The sequence below is a fragment of the Homo sapiens genome, chromosome 4, assembly GCF_000001405.40.
Source record: "Homo sapiens chromosome 4, GRCh38.p14 Primary Assembly".
Classification (NCBI taxonomy): domain Eukaryota; kingdom Metazoa; phylum Chordata; class Mammalia; order Primates; family Hominidae; genus Homo; species Homo sapiens.
Genome location: NC_000004.12, coordinates 371,260 through 396,276, shown reverse-complemented (window position 1 = coordinate 396,276; position 25,017 = coordinate 371,260). Strand labels below are relative to the sequence as shown.

At 42.3% G+C, this 25,017-nt stretch overlaps 1 protein-coding gene and 1 pseudogene across 6 annotated transcripts in view, besides 1 other annotated feature; both read right to left on the bottom strand.

Moving 5' to 3' along the window:
- Positions 460-1,139: an enhancer, noted in NCBI's record as "H3K27ac-H3K4me1 hESC enhancer chr4:388927-389606 (GRCh37/hg19 assembly coordinates)". NCBI's record gives its function as "activates a minimal SCP1, AML or CMV promoter by ChIP-STARR-seq in naive H9 embryonic stem cells {active_cell/tissue: H9 hESC(naive)}" and the evidence as "EXISTENCE:reporter gene assay evidence [ECO:0000049][PMID:30033119]".
- Positions 2,619-2,743, bottom strand: ZNF519P4 (zinc finger protein 519 pseudogene 4; annotated as a pseudogene).
- The window catches only part of ZNF141 (zinc finger protein 141), a 47,055-nt gene continuing 33,446 nt past the window's right edge, over positions 11,409-25,017 (bottom strand). For 5 of the 6 annotated variants that reach the window (NM_003441.4, NM_001348277.2, XM_047416147.1 and 2 more), the window contains one exon: positions 11,409-23,613. In NM_003441.4, coding sequence (NP_003432.1) covers positions 22,415-23,613 — 1,199 coding nt within the window. In that variant the 3' untranslated portion in view covers positions 11,409-22,414. The remainder of the gene's footprint in view (positions 23,614-25,017) is intronic. The other variant, NM_001348278.2, reaches the window with a different exon arrangement.

Below are 25,017 nucleotides of genomic sequence, written 5' to 3'. Positions count from 1 at the left end.
TTGGGTACACCTCCCAGACGGGGTGGTGGCCGGGCAGAGGGGCTCCTCACTTCCCAGTAGGGGCGGCCGGGCAGAGGCGCCCCTCACCTCCCGGATGGGGCGGCTGGCCGGGAGGGGTGCTGACCCCCTCCACCTCCCTCCCGGACGGGGCGACTGGCCGGGCGGGGGGCTGACCCCCCCACCTCCCTCCCGGACGGGGCGGCTGGCCAGGCGGGGGGCTGACCCCCCCACCTCCCTCCCGGACGGGGCGGCTGGCCAGGCGGGGGGCTGACTCCCCCACCTCCCTCCCGGACGGAGCGGCTGGCCGGGCGGGGGCTGACCCCCCCACCTCCCTCCCGGACGGGGCGGCTGGCCAGGCAGAGGGGCTCCTCACTTCCCAGTAGGGGCGGCCGGGCAGAGGCGCCCCTCACCTCCCGGATGGGGCGGCTGGCCAGGCGGGGGGCTGACCCCCCCCACCTCCCTCCCGGACGAGGTGGCTGCCGGGCGGAGGGGCTCCTCACTTCTCAGACGGGGCAGCTGCCGGGCAGAGGGGCTCCTCACTTCTCAGACAGGGCGGTTGCCAGGCAGAGGGTCTCCTCACTTCTCAGACGGGGCGGCCGGGCAGAGACGCTCCTCACATCCTGGACGGGGCGGCAGGGCAGAGGTGCTCCCCACATCTCAGACGATGGGCGGCCCGGCAGAGAGGCTCCTCACTTCCCAGATGTGATGGTGGCCGGCCGGGAAGAGGCGCTCCTCACTTCCTAGATGGGATGGTGGCCGGGCAGAGACGCTCCTCACTTTCCAGACTGGGCAGCCAGGCAGAGGGGCTCCTCACATCCCAGACGATGGGCGGCCAGGCGGAGATGCTCCTCACTTCCCAGACGGGGTGGCGGCCGGGCAGAGGCTGCAATCTTGGCACTTTGGGAGGCCAAGGCAGGCTGCTGGGAGGTGGAGGTTGTAGCGAGCCGAGATCACGCCACTGCACTCCAGCCTGGGCACCATTGAGCACTGAGTGAACGAGACTCCATCTGCAATCCCGGCACCTCGGGAGGCCGAGGCTGGCGGATCACTCGCGGTTAGGAGCTGGAGACCAGCCCAGCCAACACAGCGAAACCCCATCTCCACCAAAAAAATACGAAAACCAGTCAGGCGTGGCGGCGCGCACCTGCAATGGCAGGCATTCGGCAGGCTAAGGCAGGAGAATCAGGCAGGGAGGTTGCAGTGAGCCGAGATGGCAGCAGTACCGTCCAGCTTCGGCTCGGCATCAGAGGGAGACCGTGGAAAGAGGGAGAGGAAGACCGTGGGGAGAGGGAGAGGGAGAGGGAGAGCTCTATCAATTAAACTATGGTAATTCCACCTCCCGGGTTCAAGCGATTCTCCTGCCTCAGCCTCCCGAGTAGCTAGGATTACAGGTGCATGCCACCATGTCCAGCTAATTTTTTGTATTTTTAGTAGAGATGGGGTTTCACCATGTTGGCCAGGCTGGTCTTGCACTCCTGACCTCATGATTTGCCCACCTCAGCCTCCCAAAGTGCTGGGATTACAGGTTTGAGTCACCGTGCCCAGTCAAAATTATTTTTTTTTAAAGAATATGTTGCTTCATTTACAGTTTCCATGAACCTATCAACAATGTTAAGTGAGAATTTACAATACACATATATAAATTATATAGGTGTGTATATGCATGAGACCCACATTTTTAGATACAGATAGATCTCAATAACAGAATCCCAGTAGGCTTCTTACTAAAATTATAAGATAATAGTTATTAAGAAATAATAATATACATTTAGCAGTGTTCTAAGCTGGTTTATGACAGTACATTTAAGAAATCTAGAAGGTGAGTAGATACTTTAATCAAGTGGTGTCCAACCCTATGAATGTAAGAATATTTTGCATACCTGTTGTGGTAGATATCATAAAAACTATTCATGAACTTTTCTTTTAAAGCTCATCAGGTATCATTAGTGTTAGTGTATTTTATGTGTGGCCCAAGACAATTCTGCTTCTAATGTGGCCCAGGGAAGCCAAAAGGTTGGAAACCCATGCTTTAAACTATATTATAACTTTTCATTTACACATATAGAGTTTAAATTACAAATCTCAGTTTACACTAAAACAATAACATTTTGAAGTACAATCAACATTTTTCATATTTAGGAAAATGCTTATTGTTCTGAAAAAATTGCTAGCAAAGAATTTTTGTGGAATTACATTTGCAATAGGATTAAAAATCAGTAAGCAGAAAATCTGCAACATCTGTCTCTGGTGTTCCTGGGATTTCTGACCCAAATCCTAATACGTCCACTACTTGCCTTAAATATTTTAGACATGATGCAAAAACAATACTTGAAAAAAATAAATTAACATAGAGCTCCTCAATAACACAAATATTCCTATGTCTGCAAAAGCAATGGAACAGCAGTCAGATCATGCAGCCCCTTATAAGTGATAAAGTGGACATTGGCTGTCCATGTAAACTTGAAGGGAGATCTCTAAAGAAAAGAGAGAATTCTTAGAAGATTTAACAGCATGGGACTAAAGACACCCCTAATTTGTGAACATGAGAAAAAAATGCAGCCTTTTCAGAAACTCTGAGGGAGCATTAGCAATTACATTTTACAGTTATCCTCACCCAGGGAACCAGATTTCTGAAGTTCTCCAACATCACATCTCTATATAAATTCTGCTGGGCAGGATCCAGACATTTCCACTCTCCTGGGCAGAATTCTATGGCCACATCCCTGAATGTTAAGAGTTCCTGAAAACACATATTTATCAAAGGACAGAGTTCTTAAATTGACTACAGGAGAAATGAGTTATGTGAGCTGGTTCTGACTTATGGGACTGACTATAATTATCTGATAAAATAACTTTCAACACAGTAATGTTCTCTAAATTATTCCATAACTCTGAGGAAAAAGGACGGCATGTGTCAGGAATGGGTATTCGGTGTCAACAAAAATCAACACTGGGACAAAGGATCTTCTTAGCAAGGCTAATTTACTTTCTGTAGAAAGGGTGCCACTCACTAGCAGTCTTGCCATGAGAGCACACATGAATAAAGGAGGCAGGGTCATTTATAACCTGATGCATCCACCCTATGGCTGTGTCTGGTTTCCATTGGCTGGAATAGGACCTCACATTTTGTCCTTGTCCCGACTGGCTAGCAATTTAGAACTTTCCAAAAGAGGGGAAGGCAGAGGAGAATAAAGGAAAAGAGGAAGTAACTTGTGGAATGCTGAGAAAGGCCAAAAACACCTCCAAATAAGTAAGAGGAACAGCCTATGACCTAATACTTGCTTGGACCTGCTTAGGCATCCCAGGGCAAATATCTTAGGCTAAAATGTGGGAGCTAAGAATACAAAGTATATTGATTTCTTTATTACGGTTAGCAGATATTTAAAAATACCAGCATAGGTCTTTGAGTAAATTTTGCTTCTAAGAGAGGTTACTATTTATTCTCAATTAGACTGGGAGGAAAGTCCCTTTGAAGAGGAATCTCTACTTCATTTTCTACAGCATGCCAGAAATTTCTGTTGCTACAATGGAAATACGGGCTACACTGACCTGCCCTTATGAAAACCAAGCAGAGTAGACCCTGTGACCTCCTGGAACAAAGGGTGAACTCACCTCTCATTAAGTATCTGGAAGCCCTCATGCTTGACCCTGGCCTGGCTGTAGAATCATGTTTTAATTTAAAGAACAGGGATGTTTCCATCCAGAACAATAGACAGGATCTGTGGGGAGGGGAAAAGTGGCTGTTTCTCTTCAAACAGTCCATGTGATACTATTAGAAGACTCAGCTGAGAGTCACTTAGCTAAGCACTGGCTTTCAGACTTCAATGTCCATATAAATTATTTGCTATTCTAAGCCTTACTGTAAGTAACAAAATTCTGGAGGTTTGAAAAGGGTCCATGAATTACACAGCTTCTTATAGCAAGTCTCCTGTTAATGCTGATATTCCTCCCTCTAGATCCATTATAGTAACACTCAGCTAGAGAAAGCAGGCACAGCACACAGGGTCCCTTATCCCAACACAAATACTTTTCACCTGAAGACAAGACTACCAATCATCATCCTGAAACATGACATTCTCTGCAGGCCCTTCAAAGGTTACAGAGGCTGGAGATGGTGGCAATGTCTGAGTAAGTCTGCATTTGAAAAACACGTGCACATGCATTAATGTGATCTTTATGGAGCATGTACTATGTGTGCAGGAGTATGTCACAGAGCCCTCTGCTGGGAAGCTCACATTATGTGCGTTAATTCTCATAACATGCTGGGAGGTGGGTAGTAAGTGTCCCATAATTCCCAGGATTTAAATGCAGGGCCTGGCATTTCTATTTCTTCTTGTTTTCCTATGACTGATTTTTTAAAAAATGTATAGAATAGTTCAATATAGATAGATGGGAGAGAAACAGAAAGAAAGTGTTAAGTGCAATTCAGAGGAATTTTTTATTTTTGTATTTGTATTTACTTTGAAAATTGTAAAGAAAAACAAACACTAAAACTATAGGGCTGGAGAACAGATTGCTGGATGAGATGTCTCTAGAAACACTGGTTTTAATTTTATAAAAAAGAATTTAAGGCACAAAAGTATATTGCTTTTCCCCATTTATCTGCTTTTCTGTTTCAGGAAATTGGAAGCACCAGCTCTGGAGTGGCAGTAGGAGTAGCCACCCCAAACTCTTATCTCCTCTAAGCAGTTCTGTGAGAGATTTCAGTGTGGGGTCAGACCTGGACAAGATTCAGCAGAGGGTGGATCTGGGCAGAGCTGGGACAGACAGTGGGCCCTAGGCTTCTGCTCTCTAGGCCATTAAGTGTTTTCAGTTTTGTTTTTTCTAAGCCTGACAAAGAGAGATTTTATTCCCAGAGTTTGTGTGATTTTAACCTACTTTCGCCACTTCCCTGTCTATATTACAACATACAGTAAGAAGGAACTTAATCAAAATCCTTATTTTTTCTAGACCAATTATATTAAGAGCCAAATACTTATTATTCACAAGCTAAAAACAATACAAATAATAATAATAACAACAACAAATTCTCTTCAGTCCACGAATAGCCCTTCAGGTGGAGGCATCAAAACTCACAAAACAATAAAAGTAACCCAAATGAAGCTTAAGTCTCCTGTACAGTTTCCATCTTTGTGCTCCAGACTGCAAGTTACTTGATGGTAGGGACCATGACTGGTTCATTTCTTTTTCTAATTACCATAAGAAATAGAAGCAATTACTTATTGATCAGTTTGAGTCTCTAGATCTCCTCATTTTCACCAAAGAACCAAAAAAACTGGAACAACTCTTATCTGTTATGAACAAGGAGATTCTTTCTGTGAGGGGAGGAACAAACCCTGGATAAGTCATTTCTCTTTCTCTGAAAATGGAACCAGAATTAGACTTTGTTGTCACACTGACCCCAGTCTGCACAGGACATCCTCAAATGTCTCAAATAACTCACTGATGCTGGTGAGAGTGTCCTCAGTGACCCTGGGCTGAAGCCCCCATAGTGATCCAGGCAGGAGAGACTCAGGCTAACTTTGTGGAGTGCAAACGGAAAACAGAACTGCCCTGGTAGAGCTGCAGATCCTGGATCCAGATGTCATATGCACTGTCCCTGATCAGCTAACTCTGAGACAAGAGGAAAGATAAAAGTACTCCAGTACCACAGTATACAGGATGGCAGACTAGTGATTATGGTTGTGATTATGGCTCTGGATATTTTGTGGACCTGACCTCCCACTGCTAAGGTGCTTGTTTACACTTACAGATTCTGCCACAGGATTCTGTTCACACCAGAAGCCTCTCACATAGTTGTACCAGGTGACTAGACAAGATCTGGAAAACTCAAAGGGCTCCACTCTGAAAGTGTGGTTTAAGATGTCTATGTTGACCTCTCATGATGCAGAAAATGCCTTCTGTGAGTTTTCTGTATGTCTTCAACCCAAAGTCTGGCACTATCTTGTGAATCCTAGGCAGAAGCCAGCTTTTATGTGCAGATTCTAGGTGGAATTGTAGCAGGACGAGCCACAGACAAAATCTCTCGGACACCGAGTTGTAGAAGGAAGGGCTTTATTCAGCTGGGAGCATCAGCCAGCTACTGTCTCAAAATCCGAGCTTCCTGAGTGCACAATTTCTGTCCCTTCTAAGGGTTCACAACACCAAAGATTTCACATGAAAGGGTCGTGATTGATTTGAGCAAGCAAGGGGTATGTGACAGGGGCTGCATGCACCGGTGATCAGGAACAAACAGAACAGGGCAGGGAGTTTCACAATGTTCTTCTATACAATGTTTGGAATCTATGAATAACATCGGCTTCTAATTCATAAGTTGATTTTTAACTACTGGGTTTAGGCCAGGCAGGCTGAGGCCTGGCGCCGGGCTGCCTGTCTTTGATTTTACTTCCTTGTTGTTTTTACTGAGTATGAAACAATATAAAACAATATGAGAGGGTCTCTCCTCTCAGAATCAATGTGCCTCTGCATTCTTGGGGATTACAGCAAACAGAGTAAAACCAGAGAGATCCTCTCATGGAGGCTCCTTCAACACATTCTGAAGAATATTTTGACCTAAAAGGAAAAAGCTGGGGTAAACATAACTAGAGAGTTTATTTGGGCCAAAGCTTGAAGACTGCAAGCCCGGAGTATAAAGCTGCCCTGAACATACACTCCAATTAGAAGCAGTTACAAGTGTATTTTTAAAGGCAAAAAAGAAGGCAGAGAGGGGACTGATAGAAAGTTCTCAGACATTCCTATTGGTTTATAGAAGTAACACTGGTTAGTGTCTGGCTATATATATGTTAAGCCATAGGGTGTGCATTATAGTGTCCATTGTGGTATTATTAGGTTAATTTATAGCCACTGGTAGCAATAGCAAGGAATTTCAAAAAATAAATAGTTCAACGTGGGGAAAAGTAGGACTGCGGTCTCATTTTAACAAATCTCTGGGTCTGATAATTAAAAGAACTTGTATTTCTCAGACAAAAGTGCCGTTTTCTTCTCAAATCCCAGGATATTAATTTAGAATTTGGAACTGCACATTTAGGTCTTGGAAGGCTGGTAAGCTATGCACATTTGTGGGCATTTGGGCAAGGGGAGAAGAGAGAGAATTGAAGTTCTCTGGTTTAATTAATGCACTTATGTGATCCTGGTTGGGTTTATGGACCCCATGATGTCTGAACCAGTGTCAGATCTAAAGATGCCAGGAGCGCTAAAAGAAATGGAATAACTGATTGCTGTCCTGAGAAGTTATTTTTGTAGAAATCTAGTCTAACTGCTTTAGAAGTGACTGTTCCCAAATAGAGATCCCAAATAGAGAGATTTTTTTTTTTTTTGAGATGGTGTCTCACTCTCACCAGCACTTGCCCAGGCTGGAGTGCAGTCTCGCGACCTTGGCTCACTGCAGTCTCCGCCTCCCGGGTTCATGCCATTCTCCTGTCTCAGCCTCCCCTGTAGCTGAGACTACAGGTGCCTGCCACCACGCCCAGCTAATTTTTTATATTTTTAGTAGAGGCAGGGTTTCACGGTGTTAGCCAGGATGGTCTCAATCTCCTGACCTCGTGATCTGGCCACCTCAGCCTCCCAAAGTGCTGGGATTAAAGGTGTGAGCCACTGCACCCGGCTGTTTTTTTTTTGCAGCTTTGAGGAGCACTTTGCTACACTTTGTGCACTTTGCCACAAAATTGTGGATTGTGACTGGAATCCTTAGAAAAAAGGTTTTCTCTCAAGTGAGGCCTAGTGGGCACTTTATGTATAAATCTGGTAATTCTGAACAGTGTGGTAACTATAACTAAAAGCAAAATCATCTCTAATCCTAAAATACTCCCCACAATAACAGAACAGCAAGAAAATGTTCTGTTATTTAATTATACCAAACTATGATATGCATCACAGGCAATCAACTAATAGATTGCAAATACAGAAAGAACATCACCGTAATTAGTTCTCAAGTACAAGACATGACAGCACCATTTGTCATACACAGTTTATGTCACCTAGTAATTTGAGAGGTCACCTGGGCGCCTGTAGTCCCAGCAGGGTTTTCTAATTGGTAACATTCAACAGCAACAAAAAAACTTCCCACATCTTCATGGTAAGACGTAGTTTTGAAATGTTGAGCCAGGTACCTGCTGAAGGCAGCCCCCTACTTTCCTACAAAAACTGTGGCATAGGGTGTATAGACTCTTGCGATTTACATTTCAAGACAATAGTTTCCAGATCCTAGATAAAGACAATTTTCAGTCGAAAAAGACAAATGACCTAGTTAACTGATAAAAATGATTTATATATTTTTCAAAGAAGCAGAGAAAATATTTAAATATAAAAGTTTTCAAATTAAATGCTTTAAGAAAAGGGAGAAGAGCAAAAATTCTTCCCACACTCTAAAGAGAAAGCATTAAGCTTCTAATTTGTATTTGGTCCTACAACAGCCTGTTCTAAAGGCATGGTCTTGAACTTACTAACGTCTGAATTCTTGTAGGCACCTGAGGGATGGACTTGGGCACACTGTGAACACAGGAAAGAGGATTTGTGGGGAAGGAAAGAGCAGAAGAGAGGAAGGTGCCATCAAGAGCCTTGGGTGGGGGCAAGGCAGGACTGACTAAAGCACTGGTTTGTACTATAAGTGCAGGCCGACGCAGGGCTACACTCTGACTGATTCCTGAGTCCATAAGGGCAGAGGAGATTAGGATCAGGTGGTCTAGAAGACTGGGTGGTGAAGAAAGCAGATTCCTGCTACACATCTGGGGTTGAGATGAGCCAGGAGTCTTCTGGGCACTTTGTGTGTTCTTGGGAGAAAACTGTAGGAGCAAAGCTGCCATTGGGCACAATTTCTGAGGGTAGAAACCTATCCTGGAAGGAGTGTGGCCATGCCAATGCCCAGTGGGTGGGCTCAGGAGTGGGTTAGCATTGGGTGGGGGCTGGCAGCATGGTGTGAGGAAGGATGTTTCTCAGAACTCCTTTCCTCTAAGTTTCCAGTCCCCTCTCTCCCTCGGAGGAGACCTGGAGGAACAGGACAGGGCCCAGCAGGACTGCGCATGTGCAGAACCCAGTCACGCCTCCCGCAGACACCATGCTACTCCCTCCAGCCCAGGCTCAGCCCTGTCTTTCTTCTGACAGAAAACGTGAGGAGTTTGCTCAACACCAGTCAATGCTCCAACCCCAAAGCGGTGTCCAGCAACTCACTAAAGACGCCACCCAGAGTCAGCGCAGACCCCACAAGCTCAGCGCTCTTCTCGCAGTTGCCCCCCTGCAGGCACCGGTCCCTGCCTCTGGACACCCGTCTTCATTTCTGAACTCCCGCCTACAAACCAGGGGCGCCCACACCCTCCTCAAGTTCAATAATATGGCAGAACTACTCACAGAACTCAGCGAAGCGCTGTGCGCGCCCACACTAGCATATTCTAAAAGATGCGACTCCGGAACAGCCACGCGGAGGAGGCGCACAGGGCAAGGGGACTGGTGGGAAAGTGGGAGCGGGAGGGTGATTTGCTTCGCTTCCTCACACACCTCACAAAAGCCTTTCCTTTAAGACCCGCCAGCAGCCCCCAAACCACGAGCCATGGTCGGCGCTGTCCCATTAATGAGTCCCCGTTTGCTCACATGAACTCTATGTTTTGATGGGGCCTTGACATCATTCCGAACAGGTCAAGTAGGGACGGGACCCCCAGACCACAGCTCCTCCCACGCGCCCACTGCGCACGCCGCGTCGGCGTCTTCCAGATGAGCTCCTCCTCACCCCACAGCCCAGGGAAGGTGCGCGGCTGCGGGGGCAGAGCTGCACAAGGAGGGCTGCAGGCTGGGCCAGAGCCACCCTGCGGGAACCGACAGAAACCAGAGTCCCTCACCGGAGGGGGCTGAGGCCCGAGGGCTGAGCGGCGGCAGAGGGGACTCTCTTCACAGACTCGGTCCCGCCGCCGCCATTTCCCGTCGGTTCTGATGAGGCCTCCCCAGTCGCCTCGGGAGGACCTGCCCCACACACTCACCATTTCCCCACTTCAGGGGTGTAGCAGAGTCTCAGCTAGGAATCATCCAATACCCACAGGTCACAGAGCGACGGAGGCTGAGGCCGAATCACGGAGGCCTCCCTGAGGGGTGGAAGCAGGACGGCGAGGCCCTAACCGAGCTCAGGCTGGAGCGAAAGGCAAAAGCCGCGCCAGATCCCGGATGCCGCCCTCTCCTCTCCGGCTGCATCCCTGATTGGGCAGTTCTCAGTCCAGCGGCCTGATTGGATAGGGCTCGAAGCTTCACGCCCTCAGGCTTTGAGTGACAGAAATTGCGAAAACACAGTATACTAATTGAGGCAAGAGTGACAGACTCGTGCCTCCAGGCACTTAGAGTCAGGGCTTTCTCTCTGTGCTAGGCCTGGCTCTGCACATGGTTCATTTTTAACCTTGTGCACGCACGCGCGCGCGCGCATGCACACAGACACACACTTGTTCACAAATGGAAACAATATAATAATTTTAATATTTTAGATATCGTAACTTTTCTGGCCTGTGGTCTTTTGAGTAGGATACCTGAGATTTGAAGAGGAAAGCGAACCTCTAAAAAATAAAATGTTAGCTATTTGTGAATTTTCAATTTTTTATTAGCCACATCAAAACTAAGAAAAAGAAGCAAGTGAAATTGTTTGTGATAATTTTAACCTATTGTATCCAAAATATTGGCCGGGCCCAGTGGCTCACGGCTGTAATCCCAGCACTTTAGGAAGCTGATGTGGATCACGTGGTCAGGTGATCGAGACCATCATGGCCAAACTGGTGAAACTCCGTCTCTACTAAAATACAAAAAATTAGCTAGGCATGGTGGCGTGTGCCTGTAGTCCCATCTACTGGGAAGGCTGAGGCAGGAAAATTGCTTGAACCCGGGAGGCGGAGGTTGCAATGATACAAGATCGTGCCACCGCACTCCAGCCTGGTGACAGAGCAAGAGTCCATCTCAAAATAAATAAATAAATAAAATAAAAAATTTAAACCCCAAATATTATTGTTTTAATATGTGATCAATATATAATTAGAAATAAGGTATATTTCTGACCTCATTCTTCTAAACTCACTGTGTATTTTATGTTTCCAGCACATTTTACCTCAAACCAGCCATATTCCAGGTACCCAGTAGCTACATATGGCAGGTGGCAGCCACACTGAGTGCAGCCATGAGGGCTCTCTTCCCTCAGGGAAGTGAGGGCCTGAACACTTCTTTTCTGCTGTGAGGGAACAGCCTCTCTACCAACTGTTCTCCTCAGGCTCAAGGGTGGGTGGGACAGTGCCTCTAGAGAGAGCAGGGGCTGCAAGCTGAGAGCGTCCACGTGAAGACCACGGTCTCCCAGTTGCGGTTTGGTGCCAGTGTCGTGGTATCCTCAGTTCAGCCAGGTGTGGATTCTCGTTCCATGGCCAGGAAGAATAAGGCACACAGACATCAGAGAGTGAATAAAGCAGAATAGGATTTATTAAGCAAAAGGAAAGCTCTCAGCAGAAAGGGGACATGAAAGCAGGTTGCCAGAAATGGGGCTGAGTTCTGGGTCTTTTATGTGGCAAGAACGAGGAAGTCTTCTGTGGGTTCTGCCCAAATGGGAGGGGTAAATTTCCCCGCTAAGGGTGTTGTATCTGTGCATGCCTGGAGTTGACCACAGTGACTCCATCTTGGTTATTACCCATGAGTGCCCAAGCAAAACCGACAGCAGGTGGAAAGAGTGAAGCTAAAACCAAAATATTTATGTCATGTTAGTAACATTATAAGGAGCTGGGTCAAGTTAATGACATTTAGGTTGATTCATTACACCTGGGCCTAAGTGGGACAGTCTCTTCTGATCAACACCCTGGCATAAGAGGAAGTTCTTAACCACATTTCTTCCTGCTAGCTACATGGGTGGTGCAGGTGTGGTCCCGTGGGTGTTTTTCATCTCCCAAGACCTTCCCTCCCTATCTTCCTAACCAGCCTCTGCCTCCTTTCTCAGGGGTTCCTCTTCTTTTCAAATATCAGATGGTAAACAAGGAATGATGGGTCCACAGGAAGAGAGAGCACCATGTCTTCAGATCTCCTCACAGCCTTGCCCTCCAGAGTTTAGATGTGGAGGGAATAGATTAAAGGCAAACTTCTTGTTTTGCTATTTATCTTTGGACCTAATTGCCAGGCTGGAACTGTGTGTTTTTCTCCTGTGGTATGGGGCACTGTGTGAGTTTAAGTACCAATCACATGCATCCACATATACCTGCACTTCTGTTACCAGAAGGAAGGCCGTGAGTGTGAACTGTCCAGGTCCTTGACATTTCGAACAAAAAAATTGAACAAAGCACACAAAGGAATGAAAAACAGGAAGGGAATAGCAAAAGCAAGATTTTATTAAAGTGAGAAAGCACTCTACAGGGTGGGTGTGAGCCCCAGCAAGCCGCCCAAGGACCCGGTTACAATGTTTTCTGGGTTTTAAGTACTCCTTTTGAGGTTCCTATCAGCTACCCCTTATCTGAATGAAGGATTTGGTCCTTGGCTAATCAAAGGTTGAGGCGAATTGGTACCCTATGCAGATGAAGGCATGGCCTGTGCTTGGCCCACGGCCACTCCAAGGCACTGTCCTTTTCTATCAGAGAACTGGTACAAGGGGGAGGGTTGTAGCGACAGTCGCCTTCGATCCTTTGCTACTCGGGTGTAGATGAGGTCTTTCCTTTTGGTTTAGATGTAGGAAGTTCACGTTAACTGGCTTTAGGTTCCCTGCTCCCAGACCTTGGTGTTTTTTCTTGTAGGAAGTCAGCACGAATTGGCCTTAAGTTCCCTGCCTCCAAACCCTATTCTCCTGCCTAACTTCTGTGTAACTCAATATCATCTTACAACAAATCTAACTTTAAATAAAGGAAAAAAGAAAATCAATACTTACAGGGTGGCAAGCATTTGCAGGTTATTTGTGATCAATCTGTCCTGAGATCCTGTCTTTAATGGGTGTATATATTACTAACTTATAACTGCATAACAATCCCGAAACATACTAGCTCAGGATTGAGCTGGTTAGAAATTTAGGCTGGGCTCAGCCGGGCCATTCTTCTGGGCTCAGTTTGGCTCCTTCAGGTGTGAGTGGTTAGATGCTGGTGAATTAGGTGGCTCTGCTTCTGTGAGTGAGCTGTCTGTAAACTGAGGCACTTTGGCTTTTCTCAGATGCTATTCTCCAGAAAGCTAAAATGGGCTTGTTGTCATAGAGATGGAAGAATTCTGAAAAAGATAACAGAAGCATTTAGGACCTTTAAACCTGGGCCCCAAACTGGCACCCTGTGCCAGTGCAGATAAGTCAAGAGAAGTTCAAGGTTTGGGAAACAGAATCTGTCTCTTGATAGGAACGACTATAAAAGCCATTTCCAAGGACATGAATACAATAAGAAATTTTTCAAATTGCTGTTTTTGCAATCAATTTTATCATGACTTTTCTTGTAGATGTGTCTTGTGTAACTATCCCACAGCTACTAAGCAGCTGGCTGGGACTCAGGATCAACGTTGGCCTGATTCTGAAGCCCATGCACCTCCATAGACCACACTACTCAGCCAGGTTTCCTGGACCTTCAAGGGGCTGGAGTGACACTTCTGAAATAGGAGCAAGATTTTTTTGAGAATCTCATGCCATCCATCCATTACTCTTCACCATTGGAAATAATTCACTCCAGGGAATGGTTCTGAAGTCTCTTGGAAAAACTGTAAACAATTTGAGAAAATTGCTGAGCACTGGGTTTAGGAAATTAATGCCCAACATTACATTTTTAATTTATCATAGGAGAAATTTGAAAACACCTATAATGCACTAATCATACCTACAAATTCTTTGCATTTTTTGCATTTGTTGACTATTTATGATTTTTAATATAGACAAAGTCAAATTACTGTTCCTGAATCAACTTTTGCTCTGCAGGCAAGTGACATAGCAATAGGGCTGCTGCTATTTTTTCCCAGTGCAATTTAGCCAACCAGCAGAGTATGCTTCGAAGGGACAAGATGTTTTCTAAGACCCCACATTTAGGAGCAGCTATAGGGCAAGTGCCTAGAGCACACATAGAAATCACACACAACTAAGGCCGGGCGCGGTGGCTCATGCCTGTAATCCCAGCACTTTGGTAGGCTGAGGCAGGCGGATCACGAGGTCAGGAAATCAAGACCTTGTTGGCTAACATGGTGAAACCCCGTCTCTACTAAAAATACAAAAAAATTAGCCGGGCATGGTAGCAGGTGCCTGTAGTCCCAGCTACTTGGGAGGCTGAGGCAGGAGAATGGCGTGAACCTGGGAGGTGGAGCTTGCAGTGAGCCGAGATCGAGCCACTGCACTCCAGCCTGGGCGAGAGTGAGACTCCGTCTCAAAAAAAAAAAAAAAAAAAGTTCCCAGAGATGGTGGTGGCCCTAGCTGCTTGGTCAGCCCTCCTGTTTCTCTGAGCAATTTCATCTTGACCCTTCTGGTGGCCCCAGCAATGAACTACAGCTACTTTCTGTGGTAGGTGGATAGGCTGGACTAGGGTAAAAATCTGTGACCCATATTTAATAGGGGTATTCTCTGTTGTAAAAAGTCTCCTTTCTTCCCAGATGGCTGCATAAATGTGGAGTACTAAGAAAGCATATTTGAGGGCATGGTGGCTCACGCCTGTAATCCCAGCACTTTGGGAGGCTGACTGGGTGGATCACTTAAGGTCAGGAGTTTGAGACCAGCCTGGCCAACATGGTGAAACCCCGTCTCTACTAAAAATACAAAAATTTTTCAGGCGTGGTGGGGCGCACCTGTTAGTCCCAGCTACTCAGGGGGCTGAGGCAGGCAAATTGTGTGAACCCAGGAGGCGGAGGTTGCAGTGAGCCGAGATTGCACCACTGCACTCCAGCCTGGGCGACAGAGCAAGACAACGTCTCAAAAAAAAAAAAAAAAAAAAAAAAAAGCACATTTGAAGTCTGTATTAAATAGTAACTTTTTGGTTCTTTCTTAGTTCTAGGGGTTTGGTCAGAGCTGTGAGTTCTGACTGCTCGGCTGAGGTTCCTAGAGATAAATTTAAAGTTTTATAAACAAATAAAAACCTATTTGGGGAGCCAGTGTAAGATAATTGGTAGCATTTAGGCAAAACTGAGAAACAGGCACAAAGGAAACTAAACTAATAGAGTCAAATATTTAACTCAAGAAATAAATTTGTATTATAACAGTAATAAAGTCATAATGTACTATGTGAGTTTGTAGTAAATAATATTTAATTACATTACAGCATTTACTGACTACAGGTATAGGTAAAAATTATGCTATAAATATTCTGAATTGCTAAAGGGGTGGTGAAGGACAGTTGAAAGGAAAGCTGTTCCCAAGTACGTCAGTATCGAAGGGCAATTCTAGAGTTTATATGGTTTAAATACAGGAAGTATTTCTCTTTTCTGTATATTTTATACGTTTTGCACACACATATATGACAACATTTAACAATTTTTGTTAAATTTTTATTAAGAATGTGTTTAAGATAATCATGTATTTTGTGTCTGAAGAGGGATTTTACTGTAATAAGTGTTATCTCTAGAGTCAAAGTTGCCTGTGTTGTGAGCAAGTCATTTTTCTCTATGGCTGTTTCTTTCTCTGTAAAATGAGGATAATAATACCTATGCTATTAATTTTCTGTGAAAATTAATTTTTTTTTTTGGGCAGGGGGGATGGAGTTTTGCTCTTGTCACCCAGGCTGGAGTGCAATGGCATGATCTTGGCTCACTGCAATCTCCACCTCCCAGGTTCAACTGATTCTCCTGCCTCAACCTCTTGAGTAGCTGGGATTACAGGCGCCTGACACCACACCCAGCTAATTTTTATATTTGTAGTAGAGACGGGGTTTCACCATGTTGGCCAGACTGGTCTCAAACTCCTGACCTCATGATCCACCTGCCTTGGGCGCCCAAAGTGCTGGGATTACAGGTGTGAGCCACCACGCCTGGCCGAAAATAAAATTTATTAACACATATACAGTATTATGGTTAGCATTTGGTAGAAATCAACTATTACTAAAACATGTATATACGGAATTCCAATACATGCTTTAATACAGAAATATCTTCTCATCACGTGAGTTTTTCAACCAAGAAATGAATGTATTTTTCCAAAAACGTGGTATACACAAGGAAATACAATTCAACGTTAAAAGGGAGGAAATCTTTTCATTTGAAACAATGTGGATAAATGTGGAAGACACTATGCTAAGTGAAATAAGCCAGAGAGTAGAATGCTGGTTACCAGATGCTTGGGTATTTACAAGAAAGGGGCATCTGGAGACATGTCTGTAAAACAACACATAGTTGCCTAGGAGGAATAAATTCAAGAAATCTATTGTACAGCATGGTGACTACAGTTAACAATAATGTATTTTTGGAAAATGCTAACACAGTCAATGTTATGAGCTCTTATCCCAAAAGTAATTATGTGTGGTGAAGTATTTGTTAAGCAGCTAGAATTAAGCTTTTGACAATGTATATATACTACAAAACACCATATTCTACAGGATATTTTATCTGTCAATTAACAAATATATTTTAAAAATTACAGAATAATGTTGCAAATGATGAGTATCTTTGTCAAACAACTTGAGTATTATAAAAAATATATAGTTTTTGTGCTGTTTTTGTAATATAATAACCATAGAGGCTGGGCGCAGTGGCTCACGCCTGTAATTCCAGAACTTTGGGAGGCCAAGGTGGCAGGATCACAGGGTCAGGAGTTTGAGACCAGCCTGGCCAACATAGTCAAACCGCATCTCTACTAACAATATAAAAATTAGCCAGGCATGGTGGTGCACACCTGTAATGCCAGCTAATAAGGAGGCTGAGGCAGGAGAATCGCCTGAACCTGAGAGGCGGAGGTTGCAGTGAGCTGAGATCGCACCACTGTACTCCAGCCTGGCGACAGAGCGAGACTCCGTCTCAAAAATAAAATAAAGAAGAAAATAATCATAGGAACTCTAATATTTACTAGCATGGCTTAGACCCAGAACAATATATAATACAAGACAATACACTCTAGAGCTCTTACTTTTAAGCTTGAAGTACCTGGAATTTCTAGTGCTGATGGTAATCATACATATGTAAGACACTAAAAGGGCAAGTGATGCTAAAGGTCCCAAAATTGGCCACTTCGTGAACACAGTAAATGAATTTGCATCAAAAATCACTGAGAGGCTGGGCACAGTGGCTCACACCGGTAATCCCAGCACTTTGGGAGGCTGACGTGCGTGGATCACGAGGACAGGAGCTCGAGACCAGCCTGGCCAACAGAGTGAAACCTCATCTCTATTAAAAATACAAAAATTAGCTGGGTGTGGTGGTGGGCACCTGTAATCCCAGCTACTTGGGAGGCTGAGGCAGGAGAATTGCTTGAACCCGAGAGGTGGAGGTTGCAATGAGCTGAGATTGTGCCACTGCACTCCAGCCTGGGTGACAGAGCAAGACTCCATCTCAAAAAAAAAAAAAAAAAAAAAAAAAAATCACTGAGAAACTGTTTGGATTCAACAGCTGCCATAATCTTCAAATTTTTTTCCAGAGAAGGTGACCAAGGACTTGGATAAAGTTAGGTGAGTAAAAATGAAAACTGTAGCCCATGAAATGCATCCACTAAAACAAAGAATTATGAGAAATTCCTCAAGATTGTAATATGAATCTGGACAAAAAAGATCAGTGCAGATTTTGAATCTACAGAGATCATTCTATTGTTTTTCCACCATTTAACATTCACACTCAAAGATATAATATTCTGGCCAGGCACGGTGGCTCATGCCTGTAATCCCAGTACTTCAGGAGGCCAAGGCAGGCAGATCATGAGGTCAAAAGATCGAGACCATCCTGGCCAACATGGTGAAACCCCATCTCTACTAAAAATATAAAAATTAACTGGGCGTGGTGGCAGGCGATTGTAGTCCCAGTTAACTCAGGAGGCTGAGGCAGGAGAATCACTTGAACCTGGGAGGCGGAGGTTGCAGTGAGCTGAGATTGCACCACTGCACTCCAGCCTGGTGACAGAGTGGGGCTCCATCTAAAATAAATAAATAAATAGAAGATTTTGTATGGAAAAATGTTTTGCTATGTCACAGAAAATTAAATGTAAAATTCCTCACTTACCATTGTCTCCTAAAAATTTTCTTCTTTTTTGTTGTTGTTGTTGAGACGGGTCTTACTCTGTTGGCAGGCTGCACTGCAGTGGCACAACATCAGCTCACTGCAACCTCTGCATCCTGGGTTCAAGCGATTCTCCTGCCTCAGCTTCCCGAGTAGCTGGGACTACAGGCACATGCCACCACGCCCTGCTAATTTTTGTATTTTTAGTAGAGATGGGGTTTCACCATGTTTGCCAGGATGATCTTGCTCTCTTGACTTCATGACCCACCCATCTCGGCCTCCCAAAGTGCTGGGATTACAGGTGTGAACCACCGCCACCTGGCCTAAAAATTTTATTTCTAAGATATATTTCCTCTTAAGAAATTTCAAAATTCTGATGTTTCTTCATATGGTGGTACAATATACAACCCACTTATATTAATGTTTTACTTATTCTAACTTTTGTTACATTTTACACACTTTATGATAGAATCTCATACAATTTTTCTTTTACAAACACAGAAAAACAATGCCAACTGACTTAATCCTCTTACCTGTTGATAGTGAATTACTCTTATCTCAAGTGATCTAAATGTTGCACTGATAACCTATAAATAACCTCAAACACCCCAGTTAACCTAAAGTCCACGTGAAATTACGTGGAATGAAGAGAACAGTGACAAACTAGCCATAACGCAAAAATGAAGAAAGGCTCTGAGGCATACATAGCTGGGGATAAATCATAAAGATATCACAAAACTGAAGATAATTAGAAAATAAGAAAAGAAATCCTCTTTACATTCATAATGAGTTGGTTCTGCAGCCTGAGAACAGACGTCCTCTCCACATGCACAATTAATGCCATTTGTTCGCCACAGATTATTTTCAATCTCTTACTTGGAGCTACAAACTAACTCCAGGAATATTTATGGCTAATTATGAAGCATCTATTACACACCCAGAACTTTGTTTGTTCACTACAATAATAGATCAAAACATCCCCATGACTGACAAAGTTTTCCAAGTACTTACCTGAACAAATTGGCAAAATAAACTCATTTATGTCAATTACAAAAACTGAAAGGAACAATAACTAAAGAAAACAGCTTATATAGGGTTCTTAAATTAAAACAACAAAATGAAATGTTCTAACTAAAATAACTTAATACATATATTATGAAATTACATCTAAAAATTTTACATTCACTACATTTTATAAAAATCATTCTTATAATTTCTGACCAGCTCACATAATAAACACTTCATGAAGTGAAAACAAAAAAGAGAATCAAAGAAATTATAGCTCTAGCATGAGCACCAGACAAATAAAAACAAGGAGTTTGTATGGGGAGATTCTCAACGACAATCCATTAGATTCTAGAGTCATTAAATAAAAAGAAGAAAATATAGAATGTTTCAGGCTTCTAGATTTCCAGTAAATTATCCATGGTATTAACATAATCTTCTTTGTTCTAATATTGCTATTTTCTTTGGAAAATAGGTACAAACTCACATAAACACAATTGCTTGCTCTATAATTTTCTTACACCTAAGGTTTATCTTTACAGCAACACATTTACATACTTAACTTCATGTAAATGGAACTAAAGTTTGTATAAGTTTGCAGGAAAAGATGCCACATGTTCAAAGAGAAATGTAAAACATTTTTTAGAAGTATTCAGGATGCATAAATGTATGAATTATAATTATACTGATATAATACTACAATCATAATTGTACATTTAGAAATAATTAAAGTGTATAATTGGATTGTGTGTAATACAAAGGATGAATGCTTGAGGTGATGAATAACTCATTTACTCTGGTATATTACATGTTGTATGCCTGTATAAGAAAATAACCCATATATGCCATAGATAAATATGCATACTATGTACCCACAAAAATTTCGGAAAATAACAAGAGTGAAAATACAACATATGGGAATGATATTCTTCAATGTATTTGCTATTTAAAGCCACTGGAAAAAGAGAATACTAAAAATGTCATTCAACTATGTTACCATTGTTACCATCTTTTACCTACACCATTGAGTAAGGTGGGATAGGTTTAAGTTGGTGGCATAATGACACTTCATTCAAGCAACAATTATTTCAACACGTTAAAAATTTTGTTTAGTTAAAAAATTATGTTCCCACATAATCTTAAAATAATTTTAAAATTTACTGTATCTTATTACATAAATGTATAATTGGTAAAACAATTTACTACTAAAACAGATTTTCTCTCACTATAATGCAGAAGAATATTACTCTGAACACCTACCTCATGCATCACTCAATATTGTCAACTACAAAAAAGCCTCTCTGCTAGATTTTCATCATGGATCTTTCATTTCTGTCCTCACTCTTTCTTGTAAAAATTCACAAATAATGCCCACCTAATGAAAAAGAATCTCTCTTATCTCTGATGCAGCAACAATTCATCACATGCTTTCACATAAACAGGAATGTTGAAACAGTATGAAATAATTTGAGTTGAATTAACTATTATATGCTTTTCAAAAAATCTATACTTTTTTCAAGTGAAAAAATATACTTTAAATGTAGTATCTCTTCAAAAATCTTCTTTTCAACTTATATACAAAGAAATTCTCTAATAGGTTCAACTTTGGATTTTTTTAATACTTAATACTCTGATTTACTGCAGTGTCTAAAGTGTTAGTTCCTTAGTTCTTTCTACTGTAAATCCTCTGATGTTTACATACTCTTCTTTTTAGACTAAATATTTCTTCACATTTACTGCATCTACAAAATATTTTCTAGTGTAAACTGTTTAAGCTGCAGTTTTTGAACAAATGTTTTTCCACATTTATTACATTTGTAGGATTTCTCTCCAATATAAATTTTCTGATGTTGAAGAAAGTCTCCTTCAGTGTTTTCCCCTATTATAAAATGTGTACAACAAAATCCATGAGAGAAGTACAGGTACTACAACCCTCTTTATATTTGTATTGTTTGTCTTAAGAATACTCTTCTTCACTTTAAAGGCCTATATTTTCTGAAGTCTTTCAACAGAAATTACATTTATAATGTTTTTATTAAGTATGAACATTGCTAGTTAGTAAAATGTGAGGAGATATGACTTTTCTATATTTTTTATATTTCTATAACTTTTCTCGAATATAAAGGATATCATGTGCAAAAAGATGAGCATTGGTAAAAATCCTGCCACATTTTTTGCATTTCCAGGGGATTTCTTCAGTAGGAATTATATATATACAGTAAGATGTGACAAGCATTTGAAGGCTTTGCCACATTTTTCATATTTTTGTGGCTTCTCACCAATATCATTTCTCTTATATTTAGAATAGATTGAGTGTGGTTGCAAGCTTTGTCACACTTTCCACGTTTGCAGTTTCTCTTCAGTGTGAATTATCTTATGATTAGAAAAGACTGAGGAAGATTTAAAGACTGCCACATTCTTCACATTTGTAAGACTTTCCTCCAGTATGAGTTCTCATTATGTTTAAGAAGCCTGGAGTATGGCTTAAAGGTTTTGTCACATCTTTTACATTTCTATGGTTTTATATCTAGGATGAATTCTTATATTCATCTTTCATATCTTCTCAATGTAAGTTTGTGGAATGAATCTTCTACTCTCAAATATGAATTTTCATAAAGGTTTGTGGATGGTCTGAAGGCTCTGCCACGTTTTTCACATTTGTAGCATTTTTTTCCCCAGAATGAATTATCTTGTGCACAGTAAGGGTTGAGAACCTATTGAAGGCTTTGCCACATTCTTTACATGTGTAGGGTTTCTCTCTGGTATAAATTCTCTTATGTTTAACAAAGTTTGAGGATGTGGTAAAGACTGTGCCACATTCTTCGCATGTGAAGCATTTTGCTCCAGCATGAATTCACTTACGTTCATTAAGGGTTGAGGACCATTTAAAGGCTTTGCCACACGGTTCACATGTGAAGTTTCTCTCCAGCATGAATTATATTTATTAAGCATTGAGGACCAATTAAATGCTTTGCCACATTCTGCCACATGTGTAGGGCTTCCCTCCAGCATGATTTTTCTTATGTTTATTCACCGGTGAGGGCTGTTTAAAGGTTTTGTTACACTCTTTACATTTGCAGGGTTTATCTCCAGTAATAATTTTCTTCTGCTCATTCAGGTTTGTGGACCATTCACAGGCTTTGCCATATTCTTCACATTTGTACAGTTTCTCTCCGGTATGAATTCTCTTATGTTTATCAAGGTTTGAGAATGAGGTAAAGAACTTTGCCACGTTCTTCACATTTCCAGGGTTTCTCTACAGTATAAATTTTCTCATGTTCATTAAGGTTTGTGGATCATCCAAAGGTTTGCCACATTCTTTACATTTGTAGGATTTCTCTCAAGTATGAATTTTCTTATGTTTATTCAGGTGTGAGAACCGTTTAAAGGCTTTGTCACAATCTTTACATTTGTAGGGTTTATCTACAGTATGAATTTTCTTATGTTGACTCAGGAGCGAAAATTGTTTAAAGGCTTTGTCACATTCTTTACATTTGTAGGGTTTATCTGCACTATGAATTTTCTTATGTTGACTCCGATCTGTGGACCGTCTAAAGGCTTTGCCACATTCTTCACATTTGTAGGGTTTCTCTCCAGTATGAATTTTTTTATGTTCATTCAGGACCCTGGACCGTCCAAAGGCTTTGCCACATTCATCACATTTGTAGGGCCGCTCTCCAGTATGAACTTTCTTATGTTCATTCAGTTTTGAGGACTGTCTAAAAGCTTTGCCACATTCTTCACATGTGTAGGGTTTCTCTCCAGTATGAATTCTCTTATGTTTAGTAAGGGTTGTGGACCTATTAAAGGCTTTGCCACATTCTTCACATTTGTAGGGTTTCTCTCCAGTATGAATTCGCTTATGTTTGGCAAAGTTTGAGGATGAGGTAAAGATTTTCCTACATTCTTCACATGTGATGGGTTTCTCTCCAGCATGAATTCTCTTATGTTTAGTAAGGGTTGTGAACCTATTAAAGGCTTTGCCACATTCTTCACATTTATAGGGTTTTTCTCCAGTATGAATTATTTTATGCTTAGCAAAGTGTGAGGATGTGGTAAAGATGCTGCCACATTCTTCACAAGTAAAAGGTTTCTCTCCAGTATGAATTCTCTTATGTTCATTAAATATTAAAGACCATTTAAAGGCTTTGCCACATTCTTCACAAGTGTAGGGTTTCTCTCCAGCATGAATTACCTTATGTTGAGTTAGGTGTGAAAACTTCTGAAATGATTTGCCACATTCTTTAAAGTGTTTCTCTCCAGTATGTCTTGTCTTACGTTTGTTTGAATTTGAAAATTTACTAACAACTTTGACACTTGCTTTACACTGAAGTATTTTGCTCTGGGTAGTTGACAAGCATTCATTAAATTCATTATAACCTCCTTTCTGCAACTTACACTCATTCAAACTTTTACAGCCTTTTCTTAATTGTAAATTATCATGTCCACATTTCTCATATCTTCTCAGTATAAGTTTGTGGAATGAATCTTCTATGCCCTGCACTGGCCAATGGTCTTGGGTGAAATGAGAACACATAGCTGAAAGAAATAAAAATTACAAATTATCCCACTTAGTAGATTCATATAAATATACTTTACAAATCTTATGAAATTATTCAAAATACATTAGTAAGATGGCATAACAAAATCCCACAGGCCATAACTTCTTCACAGACATATACATGTAGCAAACATATACTAACAAAGACACCTTTCTGTGAAATCTATAAATGAGTTAATTGTATGCAATGCCTCAGGTAAGCAAAATGCCAAGAGCCACATAGAACAGGAAGGAATGTTTGTTACATTTACCCACCAACAGCTCTTCCTCCTCCCCAATATAGCACTGTGCCATTAGGAGTGAAGTATCAACTCCTGGCTTCTTCCTTTAAAGAGAAGAAAAATACTGATACACATATCCTTACTTCTGGCTTTTGAGTGTCTTTACAAAACCTGGTTTCTGTCTCCAATACCACAGAGTGCTGATAGAAATGGTGATACACTTTGGGAGGGATTGGGTCTGCTGAAAGCAAATGTAAATGTTTCAGGAGCAGACTGCAGTGCTAAATACAGGCAACACGTAGAACAAGTGATTAGAGACTGTTAAGAAGAAACATGAACAAACCCTTTTAACTGAAAAATAAACACAAAATTCCAGAGAGGACACATCCTTAGAACATGTATGAGAGGTTACCATAATCTCTATCAAGGACAATTGGTTTCAGACTATGTCAGGAAAAAGCTACATTGTAAAGATTGTGACAAATAGCTTTTTGTTAATGTACAAATAACAACCAAACATGACAATGTATACAAAATATTAGAACAACACAGTCCAACAATTTAAAAATTTTCAGAAAAGGGAACGGGCATGGTGGCTCACACCTGTAATCCCAGCACTTTGGGAGGCTGAGGCGGGTGGATCACGAGGTCAGGAGATAGAGACCATCTTGGCTAACATGGTGAATCACCGTCCCTACTAAAAATACAAAAAAACTAGCCAGACGTGGTGATGGGTGCCTGTAGTCCTAGCTATGCGGGAGGCTGAGGCAGGAGAATGGCGTAAACACAGGAGGCAAAGCTTGCAGTGAGCCGAGATCATGCCACTGCACTCCAGCCTGGGAGACACAGCGAGACTCTGACACACACACACACACACAAATTATCACAAAAGGTGAGGCATGGTGGCTCATGCCTGTAATCCCAGCACTTTGGGAGGCCGAGGAGGGCAGATCACGAGGTCAAGAGATTGAAAACATCCTGGCCCAAATGGTGAAACTCTGTCTCTACTAAAACTACAAAAATGTGCTGGGCATGGTGGCCCATGCCTGTAGTCCCAGCTACTCGGAAGGCTGAGGCAGGAGAATTGCTTGAACCCGGGAGGTGGAGGTTGCAGTGAGCCAAGATTGCACCATTGCACTCCAGCCTGGGTGACAGAATGAG